Raw genomic sequence first — 15,831 nt, 5'->3', positions numbered from 1 at the left:
TGACATTAGACAAACTATTTAATCTCCCTGAGCCTCAGTTTACTTATTTGTAAAAGGAGAGTAATAATACCAACTTGAAAAATTAAATGATTTGAGATCTATTTTACAACATGGTGACTAAATTTAAGACCAATGTATTGTATACTTGAAAAATGCTAATAGAGTAGATTTTAAGTGTTCTCACCACAAATAAAAGATAAGTACATGAGGTAACATGTAGGTTAATTAGCTTGACTTAGCCCTTTCACAATGTACATACTTCAAAATATGTTTTATACCATAAATGTATACAATTTTTATTTGTCCATGAAAAAAGAAAATAATTAAATGAAATAATGGGATATCTGACACATAGTGGGTGATCAATAAATGCTAGCTTTGTCCCACACCATTCCTTCTAATAAATTATTTTTGTACCCTTTCCTATATTCAATTCATTTCATTTTTCTATTAGCCTTGTTCAAATATGTTGGAGTGTGTGTGTGTGTGCATGTGTACATCTGTGTGTCTATCTGTCCTATTGTATCTTTCCTGGAGGACAGATGGATAAGAACGTGTATTAGGAAGCTACAAGCCAAAGTGTCCTGATATGCTGTGTGCACAACAGGGAACAGATCACTCTTGATCATATCTAGGGTTTTTAGCCTCTAATCCCAAAGCCCAAAATTCTCTGGGCTTCTGGAAGACAGCCACAGTTTTCAGCACCAGTCTGTGTGTGTGTGTGTCTGTGTGTGTGTGTGTGTGTGTGTGTGTGTGTGTGTGTGTGTATAAAAATCTGCTACTGGGAATGGAGATGAAAGAATGTCATACAAACTAAACTTGACCTTGAAAATGCCTACCACCTCCCTCAACTCAGCTGAGAGCTTGTCACCTTCCATGTCACCTTCTACCCATATGGTATTATTCTCACAGTACCACCAGCTGCTGAGTGACTATAGGCCACCATCCCTAGGCTACACCCAGGGAACTGGAAACAGCCAAGTGACCCCAAAGCAAATGTGCTAAACTGCTGGCTATCATCCAAGAGCTGAGGGAGTGATCAGATCCACCTGTACAGGGAGCAAGAGCACAATGAAGAGACCAAAACAAGTTATCACTCATGCTAAAGGACTAGTTTGGGAGTGCTTGGTTAAAACAGAATGGAATGCCAGATTCTAACCACCTTCATAGTTTTGCGAGGTATTCCATCTTTTTACAAGATAGGAAGTTACAGTTCATCTCCCCTGTCCAGATGAAACATGTTTTCAAAATGGTAATCATTTGGTTTTTCTTCCTGGTTTCTTTCCCGTGGCTCAGTAGGTTCTCAAACTAGCAAAGATCTTACAGTTGATTAGGATTTGCATTTTAAGTAGTTAGAGCTACTCAGATTTTTTAAAGCATTGATTTAAAAGATGCAGGTAAAAGTTTTTTGTCCTACAGCAAACTGTTGCTTGCCTCCAAGATACCAGTGTTGCACATTAATCTTCTCTTTTGAATACATTCATGCACCTAAATTGTTTTTTGTTCCATTCCATAAAGTAATACACCTCTATGAATTTTATTTTTGATGAATACTGACAGCACTCTTTACTTAGTAGCCAGTCCCTGGTTTGCCATACAGTATACATTCTCTATAAGTTCTTTTTTGCTTAAGTATTGCATCACTATCAATGCTTTGAAATTAAAGATGCACAAGTTATAAATACAGAATAAGGAGTAACCAACTAAACTTAACTATTTTTTACTAAGATTGTATGTAGATTTTAGTTCTATGTTTGCTGTAAGTTCATCAAAACATATTTCAAAATGACTAAAACTACTTGCAGATTTATATGTATTTATTATTTGATGTAATAAAGCTTATGTTCATTAACAATAAGTAAATAAAAATAAATAATTAGACCCTAACAGATGAACAATTACATTAAATGCAAATAGTCTAAATGCATTAACTAAAAGAGATTGGTAGATTGGTTTTAAAAACATGATCCAACTAAATGCTCTGTGCAAAAAACTTGCTTTAAATATAATGATATAGGCAGGTTGAAAGTAAAAGGATGGAAAAAGATATACCATGCAAACATTAATCAAAGGAAAGCAGAAATGGTCATATCAATCACATAGACTTAATATTAACAATATTCATAAAGTAGACTTCAGAACAAAGAAAATTACCAGAGAAGGATACTATGTAATAAAAGAGTCAATCTACCAATGACATATAGCAATCCTACATGTGCTTGTACCAAACAACAGAGCTGCAAACTATGTAAAGCAAAAATTGATAAAACTGAAAGGAGGCCAAGTGCAGTGGCTCACACCTATAATCCCAGCACTTTGGGAGGCCGAGGTGGGTGGATCACCTGAGGTCAGGAGTTTGAGATCAGCCAGGCCAACATAGTGAAACCCCATCTCTAACAAAAATACAAAAATTAGCCAGGCGTGGTGGTGGGCACCTGTGGTCCCAGCTACTCAGGAGGCTGAGGCATGAGAATCGCTTGAATCTGGGAGGTGGAGGCTGCAGTGAGCCGACATCATGCCACTTCACTCTGGCCTGGGCAACAGAGCAAGACTGTCTCCAAAAAAAAAAAAAAACTGCAAGGAGATATAGAGAAATCCTGAAGGAAAAGCAGATTTGAATCTGTTCAGAGGATTGGAACCCAGAGAACATGACAAGAATGGAAAACCATAGAGGCTTTACCCTCCAAAGAGGCAGTGGGCTGAGCTCAGTGAGAGACAGCATCTGCTAGGTAAAACAAGGCCTGAGGATGCTGGGAGAGTATAATATGCACGATGATGTCAGACACATATTGCTGAACCTTTTTTTGACTCAATAATTATTTTAATGTATATTACAGAAAAAATACATTGGGCACAGTAGGTAGAAACATGGTTACACAGACCATATAAATTAACAGACTCTGTCATGAATGTTTCAGACATTCATATACTGAACATTTCAGCATGACTTTTATTTTTATTTATTTATTTTTTTGGAGACAGTCTCGCTGTGTCACCCAAGCTGGAGTGCAGTGGTGCGATCTCAGCTCACTGCAACCTCCGACTCCCAGGTTCAAGCAATTCTCCTGCCTCAGCCTCCCAAGTAATGGACTAGAGGCGCCCGCCACCACACCCGGCTAATATTTGTATTTTTAGTAGAGACAGGGTTTCACCATGTTGGCCAGGCTGGTCTTGAACTCCTGACCTCAAGTGATCCACCCACCTTGGCCTCCCAAAGTGCTGGGATTACAGGCGTGAGCCACTGCGCCCAGCCTCAGTATGACTTTCTGGAAGCAGGGATGGTAAGAATGACTGCTCCCATCGTTTCACCCCTGGTAGTCTAGATGGGCTATCATTCCCATATTAAGATTGCATCCAAATGGCGGTGGACTGCCAAGGTGCCCCATCTGTATCACATCACCAAGCAGGGGCACCACTCATCCTGAATTAAGGAAGCATCTAGGTTTAATGCCAGCATTAGTCACCCAACTGGCCAATCTTAAGCCTAGATCAAGGAGTTCTTCACATGTTTAAATCATGCAGCTATTTTTTGTATGCATCTTATAAATATTTATTACTTGATTGTCATGGTTTTAAAAATTTTACCTTTTAAAAGTATAACTTTTTTGTTTTCATCATGTTTATAGAAGCAGTACATTGAACAAGTGTGACTGTGACACAATCAAAATCCAACTTCGTTTTCTGTTTCCTGTGTCAACTCTAAACTTTATCCAGTGGGGAAAGCTTTCTTTCTACCACTGGAAAATAACCCAGCAAGCCTGGTATATATGTGTGTGTGTGTGTATATATATATATATGTGTGTGTGTGTGTGTGTGTGTGTGTGTGTGTGTGTGTATATATATTTTACTAATGCTTAGATAAAAGACAGTCTTACAGACTTTTATGTGCAAACTCAGTCTTAATTTGGTAGTTTGAATATCAAGTCCTAGATATTAGTCAGCTCTTCCATTTTCTTCCTGTTCCCTAGGCAAGGCTTCTACTTGACAGCTGCCTGTTTTCCAGAAAGGGAGTGTGGTTGGTTTCTGCTCTCCCCACTCACTTCCTCCTTCACTTGTTAGCTGAAGTTTGACTTCTCTCAGGGACAGAAAGGGGCAGGCTGGAGGGACAAGAGGTATAGGTCAAAGGACAGTACTTGCTGGCTAGTGGCTGAGAGCTCTCTGGGTCAAGCAGAAAGTCGAACGTGGCTACCTGCCTGGGCACTTTCATGGAGATTTCCATCATTCCATGGTGCAGGGTACCTAATGATGTCTAGTTCAAGTGGTCATTGATAACTTCTTTGAAAGCCTCTAAAAAACAGCATTCCCCTCTGGCTTCTTCTTGCTAGAAGAAAGCAAGAATTCCTCCAGGTCACTCAATTAGGACGGCAGGTCAAGACTAACACAGTAACTTCTACATTTTCTTGGGTGGGAGTCAGGAGCCATTGTCCTATATCCCCTAAGTGCAGAGAGCACCTTCCATAGCTCTCCTTGTAGTTCCAAGGAAGCTTCTTGCACTAGGTTTCTTTTTTTGTTTGTTTGTTTTTATTATTGCACTACGTTTAAGGAGAAGGCAGTACCCCCTCTCTTGGGTCTCTAGCATAGCACCAGGTCCCTCCTAAAAGGTCTTCCACAAATCCTCCTCTCTCTTCACATTCTGACTTATTTTAAATATCTTTGATTGAGCTAAGATATCCAAAAATCGTAGAACAAGCTCTGCACAAATTCCTTCGTAAATTCACATGTGAGGAGCCTGTCTCACATGAACTTTGGTAATATACCTACTTTATTGAAGCCTCAGTCAAAAATGTGGTTGGAAACCTCATTCTAACATCCTGCTATATTTATTTGTTTGATTACCTTCTATTTTTAAAAAGTGGACCAGGCATGGTGGTTCATGCCTGTAATCCCAGCAATTTGGGAAGCTAAGGCAGGTGGATCATTTGAGGTCGGGAGTTTGAGACCAGCCTGGCCAACATGGTGAAACCCTGTCTCTCCTAAAAATACAAAAGTAGCTGGGTGTGGTGGCATACACTCCAGCCTGGGTGACAGAGTGAGACCCCATCTCAAAAGAAAAAAAAAATAATATCTTTTTTCCATTTATGATAGAGAACTTATTTTTTAAATTAATATACTTGATTATATAGTGAATCAATTTAAAGAATAAATATTAAATAATGAAATACAGGAGATACATATATAGGACTGAAAACATAGAGATGGTAGGCTGGGTGCGGTGGCTCACGCCTGTAATCCCAGCACTTTGGGAAGCTGAGGCGGGCGGATCATGAGGTCAGGAGATGGAGACCATCCTGGCTAATATGGTGAAACCCTATCTCTACTAAAAATACAAAAACAAAATTAGCCAGGTGTGGTGGCTGGCGCCTGTAGTCCCAGCTACTCAGGAGGCTGAGGCAGGAGAATGGCATGAACCCGGGAGCTTGCAGTGAGCCGAGATCATGCCGCTGCACTCCAGCCTGGGCGACAGAGCGAGACTCTGTCTCAGAAAAAAAAAAGAAAAGAAAATGTAGAGATTGTATATAAGTCATAGTCATAGTCATCATATATTATAAATCAAAGGTATTTTATAAAGATTAATTTAGTGCCAGGCACAGTGGCTCATGCCTGTAATTCCCAGCACTTTGGGAGGCCAAGGCAGGCAGATCACGAGGTCAGGAGTTCAAGACCAGCCTGGCCAACATGGTGAAACCTTGTCTCTACTAAAAATACAAAAATTAGCTGGACGTGGTGATGGTGGCGCGCGTCTGTAACCCCAGCTACTTGGGAGGCTGGAGCAGGAGAATTGCTTGAGCCCGGGAGGCCCCCCAAGGAGCTTGCAGTGAGCCGAGATCGTGTCATTGCACTCCAGCCTGGGCAGCAAGAGCAAGACTCACTCAGTCTCAAAAAAAAAAAAAAGAAAAAAAAAAAGAAAAAAAGATTAATTTAATAGAAGCAAGAAGAATATGTTGAAAGGAGGAGCAACTTTTTAAGTTGCTTTTTAAGTTTTAAGTTACCATTTTATGTTAACTTTTTATGTTAACATAACTTATGTTAACAGACCGTTTTATGTTAACTAGTTTAAGTTACCGTTTTATGAGTCCTGAAGACACACACAAATACAAGATTATGAAGAAGATTTAGTAGAGGTATGAGTGACACTTGGAAGTCGAATGCTTTCTGAAAGTTCAATTATAACACAGACTGCAGATTTGCTTGCCATATTCTCCAACTTATAAGGAAACTGGCCCATCCCTCCCAAATAAATCTTAAATAAAAGCAGTACATTCAAAGGGGCCTCATTCCCTATCATTCCCTAGCCACAGTTGATTGTTCCAGGATGGGAAATTGGTTTGAGTTTGGCCCATTAGACATCTTCATTAGGAATTTGGAATCATGACCAAGAGAATAAAACTCAGTTTGATTTCCCCCTTCAACAGTGAATGGATTCACTATTAGCGTGCCAGAAAATTATATTTCTGAACTTGTAGGATGGACAGTCCTCATCTCAGATCCTAATATGTGTCACTCAAACTTGTAGAAATGAATGAACAGAAAACCAGAATTCTGATTTCTAAATTTGTAATAATAAAATGATTTAATAAACTAGATACTTTGATGTACAGATCAGCATATTCTGTCACTGTAAGTGAATCTATATAAGCAGCCAAATCATCAGAAATTTTCATGAAATCAGAACAAGAGATGCTAGCTGAGTGATCGTGGCTGGTGGACCATGATAACCTGATGAACCCACCTCTTCCAAGCGGATCTACTAACCTTGAGAGCCAAATCCTTGTGTTCTTTAGTTCCGACTGCCTTTTATTTGACCCACTTACTGGTTCTAACTTTTTATTCTTCCACTAACAGCTAACCCACTTTTTAATTGAAACTTTGCTTTTTAAATATCTCAATAGCGGTAGCCTGAATAATGGCCCCCCAAAATATGTCTACATTCTTATCCTAGAACCTGTGAATGTTACCTTGTTGGACGAAAAAAAGGTCTTTGCAGGTGTGATTACATCAAAGACCTTGAGATGAATGGGAAGATTATCCTGGATTATCCATATGGTCCTAAATGCAACACAAGTGTCCCTCTAAGAGAGAAGGGGAGGCAATTTTAAAAAGTGGTGGTATATACCAGATGGTAGAAATCAGCTTTCTCACATTCTAGGGTGATTGGTAATGGCTTGGAGGAGAGATGTCCAGCAGGGACCTTTTGAAGGACGACCATCTGTACCTTTGTAATAAGGGAGATGCCTGGAAGGCAGCAGGAGCTTCTCAGGACTGCTTTGCTTTTTGTTGTTGCCAGTGTTGCCTAGGAAAGTTCTTCACCTTGTTGATAAAAACTGGTTCTGGTTTCCATCTTTTCCATACTTGTGAGCCGACCTCATAGTGTTCCCTTGGAGACACCAGCACTAGCCAGCTGTCCCCCCTCCTCAGAGATCTGAGTTTCAGCTACGTGGGTCCCTCCTCTGAGTTCAGAGGCACCAGCAGTGACAAAGAGCCCCCAGCCTGGCTTCAGCTCAGCAGGGCCTCTCTTCTAAGCTTCTAGATCCAGATCACGCTGCCTCTTCCCTTATTTCCCCTAGCCCTAGGAATGGTGGCTGCTTCTTGCAATTACGTTTTCACACTTTACCTGGACAGTCTTCCAATACCTGTTTAACCACTTTCTTAAGTTATTTCTGAAAAAATAACTAGTGTGGCTTTTGTTTTGTTTTATTTTGTTTTGAGACAGGGTCTTTCTCTTGTTGCCAAGGTTGGAGTGAATTGGCGTGATCTCGGCTCTCTGCAATCTTTGCCTTCTGGACTCAAGCAATCCTCCCACTTCTGCCTCCCGTGTAGCTGGGACTACAGTTTGCACCACCATGCACGGGTTTTGCCACGTTGCCCAGGCTGATCTTGAATTCCTGGGCTCAAGCAATCCTCCTGTCTCAGCCTCCCAAAGTGCTAGGATTACAAGTGTAAGCCACTGTGCCTGGCATGTTTTCTTGATTAAACCCTTTTTATTAGAGCCACAGACAGAAGATGAGAAGGCAGCATGAACACAGAGGCAGAGATTAGAGTGATACAGTCACAAGCAAAGGGATGGCAGCAGCCACCAGAGGCTGGAAGGGGCAAGGAACAAATTGCCCCCTCGAGTTTCTTCTTCTTTTTTTTTTTTTTGGAGACAGAGTTTCTCTCTTGTTGCCCAGGCTGGAGTGCAATGGCACGATCTCGGCTCACCACAACTTCTGCCTCCCAGGTTCAGGCAATTCTCCTGCCTCAGCCTCCTGAGTAGCTGGGATTACAGGCATGCACCACCATGCCCAGCTAATTTTGTATTTTTAGTAGACACGAGGTTTCTCCATGTTGGTCAGGCTGGTCCCCCTCCAGCTTCTGAAAGGAGAATGACCTGAAGGGAGCACAGCCCTGCTGACATCCTGATTCAGGCCTGGTGATACGGATTGCAGACTTCTGGCCTCCAGAACTGTGAAAGAGTAAACTTCCATTTTTTAACCACCCCATTTGTGGTCATTTTTTACAGCAGCCAACGGAAACTAATACACCAATGCTCACAATTTCAGCTTGAGAGCCACCCTTTCTCTTACAGGTGTCTTTACATGCCTGAATTCTAATTCATTGTATCTGTTAAGTAACTGGTATACAAGTAACAGCAACTGACTTTAGCTACCTCCTAAGCAAAAAAGGGAATTTGTAAATAGTGTACAGGGGAGTCTGATAGAGCCTGAGGTCAAGGATGCAGCTGGACCTCAAAAAAAAATGGATCCCTTGTAATCCCAGCACTTTGGGAGGCTGAGGTGGGAGGATGACTTGAACCCAGGAGTTTGAGATGAGCCTGGGCAACATAGTGAGACCCTGTCTCTACAAAAAATAAACAAAATTAGCTGGGTGTAATGGCATGCACATGTAGCCCCAGCTACTCAGAAGGCTGAGGCAGGAGATGGCTTAAACCTGGGAGGTCAAATCTGCATTGAGCTATAATTACACCACTGCACTCCAGCCTGGGTGACAGAGTGAGACCCTGTATCAAAAAACAAAAGCAAAAACGAAAACAAAAGCAAATGGATCCAGGCAACCTGGGGATCGTCTTTCACAATTGCTCTTCTCTGCTCCTTTCTGAGCATCTCTCTGCTTCATGGCCTCTCTTGCTGCTGCCTGGCTTCCTCTGTGACTCAGCCCGCATAGCAGATAATGGCTTCTACCAATGCTTTCAGCTGTAAATTGTGTTTCCTCAGCTGTTAAATGAAGAACTTGAATAATACACTCCGCAAGCTCCATCTGGCTCTGAAATTTGATGGAATTCTATTAGGAGTCCTGTGCAGTGGATGACAGGTGGGATCCTGAGGAATGGAGAGCAGGCCTGTGTGAGACCCAGCTGTGCAGGAGCAGGCGCACCTCAGGAAGGTGGCCCAGTCTGACCTTAGAGTGCCGAGTGGGGATCTCTTCAGGGGCCTAGTGAGATCATGGGCTCAGCCACACTGGAGAAGAGCTGGTGACACCTGGCATCAAGGTGGGGCATCCTGAGTCTGCACCTTTAGGCTGGCACTATCCACTTATATGCTGATGATTGGCAGAAACTCCAGGTTTGTCATTGCCTATCTCTAATTAGCATCAATAATTTATTCATTCCTTCCCCTGTTTTGATAGGAAGAAGCCCCACCCCCCGGCCTTTTTTTTTTGTTTAATAAAATGAGTTATCCTGCCAACCCCCACCTAACTATTCCCACAGAGCACCTGCTTGAGGTAGGTTCAAATCAGCCCTCAAGCCACAGTGTGACTAAACACATCTATGCCCACACAGAGAGTTCAGGAAATTCAACTCCACCACCTGCCAAGACACAAAACCTCACTGTAGGCCTCTTAGCTTCTTACTGATCCTGATTTGCATCTTCTTTCTGATCCCGGGATTTGGAGCCAGCAGAAAGCCCAGGGGATTTCTTGCAGAGGCTAAGGTGGGCTTCAATGGTGGGGATATCTGTGTTCCCGGACCTGGCCTCAAGCTGGCTCCTGGTCTTCATGAAACGAAACAGCCACCTTCCTTACATGGATTCCGCCATGCACATCCCACTTGACCTTGTCTACTCCAGCCAGACTAAATTGCTTCCTGTTCATGGCTTCTCTCTTCCCTCTGGGCTTCTAAATTGCCCTTAGCCAGAAATTCCCATTCCCACCCATCCCATCATCCAGGTCCTTCACCTGGATAGCTTTCATCTGCTTATAAGATACTTCCTTTGGGACATGCTCCCTGACCCCATCTCACTGAGGTTACCCCTATGTGTTCCCACAGCACCCCTTACTTGTCATTAAGCTTCTCACTCTGGCTGGCAGTCAGCTATTTACTTTTTTGCCTCCTTCCACCAACTGGTAATTCCAAACTTTATCTTTTTTACCTACATCTCCTGTACTTAGCACAGAGTCTGGAACATGGTGGAAGCCCCATAAATGTTCAGTGATGACAGGATCAAGTGCACATTTACTCACTTTCATCACCTTCCTAGGGACCACCAGCCCCTTCCATGTTTCCTACTTTCAAACTGTGGCCCCTTTCATATTATAATGAGTATTTCATCATGAGGCATAGTGAAAAATGAGATGCTGAGTACCCTAAACACAGAAGAGGCAATGTTTTCTTAGATGAGCTGCCTTTCTTGTTCACAATGAACTAAAGAAGGTTTTTCTAGGCATGGCAGATATTCTGGGAGATTCAGGAAGGGATATAGGGAGAGAAACCAGCCTTTCCTGCATCCCAACTTGAACCCTGAAGGGAGGATTTCCAAACATTCTCCCAGCATTGTTATGGGATGACATACATTCACCCGCTCTGAGTTCCTCTCATGGCTTTATTTATCATGCTCCCATAGACTGGAAAGCAGAAGGAATTCATTTTAAGACTTCAAATTATGTGCAGCATTTGATTAAATCTATCTTGAGAAACATCACTCATTGGCCTGTCTGGAGCTATTGTTGTGTGGTTAGCTCAGCACATATTTTCCAAGCACAAAATAAAAGGGTTAATGTGTGGAGATTCAGAAGAAGTCTCTTATTTGGCACTTGTACCAGCTATGAGATGGTTCCTCAGAACCATCCCACCACTAAGCAAACCAACCCTCTCTGAAGGGTCCAAGCTACTCCCCACATCCTCAAGATTTTACAGGAGCTGTGGTGCACCTCAGGGAGGGGCTCCCACTCAGGAAGGAGGCATTTTTCCCTGCATGGAATAAGCCATGGAAAGAGTCCCAGTTCTACAGGACTGAGAATATGACTTTAAAAAAAAAAAAGCAGCATAGACATAATCACTGCTTCTGTAGAAGCCACATCATTAACTTCCAACCCCCAAGTGAGTGTCTGAGTTGGAGAAAGAGAATGAAAGAAAAATAAGGTCCTGAGGCAACAAGAAGGAACCCTTACTTGACTCTACAGAACTGACCGTGTCTGATGTGCACACGTTATATTACTCTAGACCAGTGGTTCTCAACCGGTAGTGATCTTGTCCCCAGGAAACACCTGACAAAGTCTGGAGACATCTTTGGTTGTCACAAATTGGGGAGTGCTACTGGCATCTAGTGAATAGAGTTCAGGCTATTTGAAAAGGCTTCAAAAGGGAGGATCTAACTCAGGCTTGCGGGTTAGAAAAGGCTTCCTGAAAGAGGCATATCTAAGATACACCCTGAACTACCAGTGAAAGTTAATCAGCTAAAGGATATGGTGGTTCATGGCTTTCTGGAGACTTTCCCCCTTCTTCCTTGATGTTGACCTCAGTCCAGCACATGTATGAATTCCTCACATTTTTCTGGGTGACAAGATTTAGATAAGTAGCCTCATTCTCAGCCCTGGCCTCCAATATTCCCAGCTTCTCTTCCCCATTCCCCTGCCCTACTGCTGAGGGGCCCCCTGCCTTGTCGTTGGACACCACTACATACAACCTGGGGCTCATCCTCACTCCAACACCTGCAGCTACATCAGGTGGTACCAGGTTTCCCACCTTCATCACTCCCTGCAAGAAAGTAGCCACCTCAAAAGTGCCAAAGAACCGTTATTCTAGAAACAAGTTAATTTGAGTTCATGCATTTATTGGTCTGTCCCTCACTGTTTACCTTCTTAAGCACTGGTTCTCAAATGTGGCTTCACATTAGAATCACACAAAGTTTTAAAAATGACTATGTCCCCAGAGATTCTGACTTTGTTGGTACGGGTGCAGCCTGAGCTGCAGGAGTTTTACACTCCTCTCAGATTATTCTAAGAGGCAGCAAACACCAAGGACCACAAAGCCCTGTCCAAGCATGTTGGGCCGCAACATGGAAGCAGTACACTGATGCTCTCTGGCCCCACACATGCAGCCAATGCTCTCCCACATAATCTTCCCACCTTGCCCATCTGCTCCGACTAGTCCTGCCTTGGTCCCCATGGAATTTTCCATTCATTACTCTTAATTTTGAACAGCATTATCAGTTCTCCCTTTCAACTCAGGGTCTGTTCAGTTGCCTTAATCACCTTCCCATTCCCTATATTCTATTCTACCCAAGTACAACCTTACTTCTGCTTCCCCACAACATAAGATCGTTTATCTTCTTATCACATTCCCCTATGTGTAAATTTATTGCTGCAGTGGCAATTTACCACATACTTATTGACTTAACACATAAATTTATTCTCTTACAGAAATGGGTTTCACTGGGCTATAACCAATGTGTCATCAGGGCTGTATTTCTTCTGGAGGCTCTACGGGAGGATCCATTCCCTGACCTTTTCAGCTCCTAGAAGCTGCCTGCATTCTTCGGCTTGTGGCCCCTCCCACCATCTTCAAAACTAACAGCATAGCATCTTCTAATCACTAGTTCTCTGACCTCTGCTTTGTCACTTCTCTTCCTCTTATTCAGACACCCTGTCTCCCTCTTATGAGGACCCTTGGGCCAATCTGGATAATCCAGAATAATTTTCCCATCTCAAGATCCTTTACTTAGTCATATCTGCAAAGCATCTTTTGCCATGTAAAGTAACACATTCACAGGTTTGGGAAATTAGAACATGGATATAGATATCTCTCTGGGGGTGGGGGGTGCATTCTTCTATCTACCACACCCTGTTAAGGCAGCTGTCAGCTTTGTAATCTGTCAGCTTTCAAATACCTAGAGGTTCTGAGATCTTTAAAGATGGAGACATTGTAACACTGGACTTTTTGGACCTATTTCCAGTAAAATGAGAAGGATGAATCAAGCCAGCACAGCAGGTGACGTTGGTGGTGATAGTAGTGATTTTGCACCCCTCACCCTGGGGATATCTGACAATGTCTGGAGACATATTTGGTTATCTCATGTGGTGGTGGTAGTAGGAGGTTACTACTGGCATCTAGGTGGGTTGAGGCCAGCGCATGCACAGAACAGCCCCTCTACAACAAAGAATTATCTGGCCCCAAATGTCAATAGTGTCAAGGTTGAGAAATGCCGAATTAGACCATTCCTACTCAAAAATGTGGTCCGTTAACCAGCAGCCTGAGTATGACCTAAAAGCATTTTAAAAATGCAGAATCTTGGGCTCTGGCCCAGAGCTATTGAATCAGGGTATGCATTTTAACAAGATCCTCAGGCTATTCTATACATATTAAAGTTAAAGAGCAATGGACTAGAGCAATGATTCTCCACCTGGGCTGCATATTAGAATCACTTTAAAAAAAGACAGTAACCTGAGTGTAAGACTCAGATCACAGATTAATTAAATCAGAACCTCTGGATGTTGGAAACCAGGCATTGATATTTGTTAAAAGAACTCCCGATGATTCTAATGTGTAGTCAGGATTGAGAAGCTCTGTCCTATGATCTCTGAAGCTCTGCTATTCAAAGTGTTGTTGGTGGGCAGATATAGCAACATCACCTGGGAAAATTTTAGATGCACAGACCAATCTTTTGCTCTACCCCAGAACTTTTGAATCAGAAGCTGCATTTAACAAGATGCCCAGGTAATTCCTATTCACATTAAAATTTGAGAAAAAATCCTATTTCTTTTCAAAATATAAAATACAGATTTTGCTGAGGCCATTTACCATATTCCTAAGGAGGGAACTATTCAAAATCTTGTTTAAACAATGCTCTTCTGTTTCCAAATACTGTATATTGCATGACTATATTTAGTTTTGTTATTCACAGGTAAATTACTACATTTTAAGCAACTCACAGCTTGTCAGCTTCCAGGAACAAGGCTTTCTAAACAACGTGGTGTGTGGAAAAGCACTCTCCATGGAGAGGCAGGAGTGCAGTTAGCAATGAGAAACTTGGCCAGGATTTGCTTGGCAAAGAGGTGTTTCTAATAGAGCCCACGCCTGGGTTGTGCCAAAGGGAAGAGAGAAATGAGTTACAGAGCAAAGGCAGGCAGGGAGGAAGCCCTGATGATAGCACTTAAATTAGAATGAGAGGTTGCAGAGCTGGGAGTGGAGGTATGGATTTCCAGAGATCAGTACAGCCCTTGTCAGTCAAGGCTCAAAGTAAATTATGAGCAAACAAACTTTATTTTCTTTTTAATCTAAATAGAGTAAGAATAAGAGAGTGAGCAGGGCAAGAGGAGGAGCAACGTGTTCTACCTTCTCCTGGAAAATAAAAAAGGAGAAAGAGAAGAATTTGGAATTAAAAAAAAGTACTATCTAATCTTTGAAATAAGAATTACCATATCCATTTTATAAAGGATTAAAATGGAGGCTTTGAGAGATTAAGCTACTTGCCCAAGTACACCAACCTAGAAGTGGTTAATTTAAGCACAGTTTTCTCTAATTTCTGTTCATTACGGGCTGAAGGTGGATGTTACGGATTGAATTATGCCCATTCACTCCCCAATATTTATATGTTAAAGTCCTAAACCCCAGTACCTCAAACTGTAATCTTATTTAGACATAGGGTCTTTCCAGAGGTGATCTAGTTGAAGTGAGGTTTTTTGGGTGAGCACTAATCTAATATGACTGGTGTCCTTATGAAAAGGGGAAATTTGGAGACAGGTAGAAATGGAACATGGAGACACAGGAAGAAGATTGCCATTTATAAGCCAAGGATGGAGGCCTGAAACAGATTCCTCCCTCACAGCCCTCAGAAGGAACCAACCCTGCTTATACTGTGATTTTTGTCACAGGGTGGACCTCACAATTGGAGTTCGGCCTGGGAGCCACATGGGTTCTTGGCTTTGTGCAGGAAGGAATTCAAGTGTGAGCCAACAGAGTAAAGTGAAAGCAAGATTATTCAAAGTAAAGGAATAAAAGGATGGGCACTCCATAGGCAAAGCAGTGGCATGGGCTGTTTGACTGAGTACACTTATGGTTATCTCTTGATTATATGCTAAACGAGGGATGGATTATTCATGAGTTTTCCAGGAAAGGGGTGGGGAGTTCCTGGAGCTGAGGGTTCCTTCCCTTTTTAGGCCATATAAGGTAATTTCCAGACATTACCATGGCGTTTGTAAACTGTCATGGCGCTGGTGAGTGTCTTTTAGCATGATAATGCATTATAATTATAATATAATGAGCAGTGAGGACAACCAGAAGTCATTTTTGTCACCATCTTGGTTTTGGTGGGCTTTGGCTGGCTTCTTTACCACATTCTGTTTTATTAGCGGTGTCTTTGTGACTTATCTTGTGAAACCAGTTCTACTGACCTTCTATCTCATCCTGTAAGAATGTGTAACATCTTGGGAATGCAGCCCAGCAGGTCTCACCCTCTTTTCACTCAACCCTTATTCAAGATGGAATCACCCTGGTTCCAATGTCTCTTGATAATTTCAAGCTTCTAGCTGCTACACAATAAATTTCTACTGTTTAAGTAACCCAGTACTTGGTCCGGCAGCCCTAGAAAACTAAGTGACGCTAATAATAAGGGTTTA

General features: G+C 42.3%; 1 pseudogene, besides 1 other annotated feature; it reads left to right on the top strand.

Annotated features, from left to right (window-relative positions):
• The first annotated feature begins 464 nt into the window (after positions 1-464).
• Positions 465-1,766, top strand: CDK2AP1P1 (CDK2AP1 pseudogene 1; annotated as a pseudogene).
• Positions 14,600-15,521: an enhancer, noted in NCBI's record as "OCT4-NANOG-H3K27ac hESC enhancer chr3:120188655-120189576 (GRCh37/hg19 assembly coordinates)". NCBI's record gives its function as "activates a minimal SCP1, AML or CMV promoter by ChIP-STARR-seq in naive H9 embryonic stem cells {active_cell/tissue: H9 hESC(naive)}" and the evidence as "EXISTENCE:reporter gene assay evidence [ECO:0000049][PMID:30033119]".

Source organism: Homo sapiens, chromosome 3 (assembly GCF_000001405.40).
Source record: "Homo sapiens chromosome 3, GRCh38.p14 Primary Assembly".
Lineage (NCBI taxonomy): Eukaryota > Metazoa > Chordata > Mammalia > Primates > Hominidae > Homo > Homo sapiens.
The sequence above is the reverse complement of the archived record's forward strand: the minus strand, read 5'-3'. Positions and strand labels throughout refer to the sequence as shown.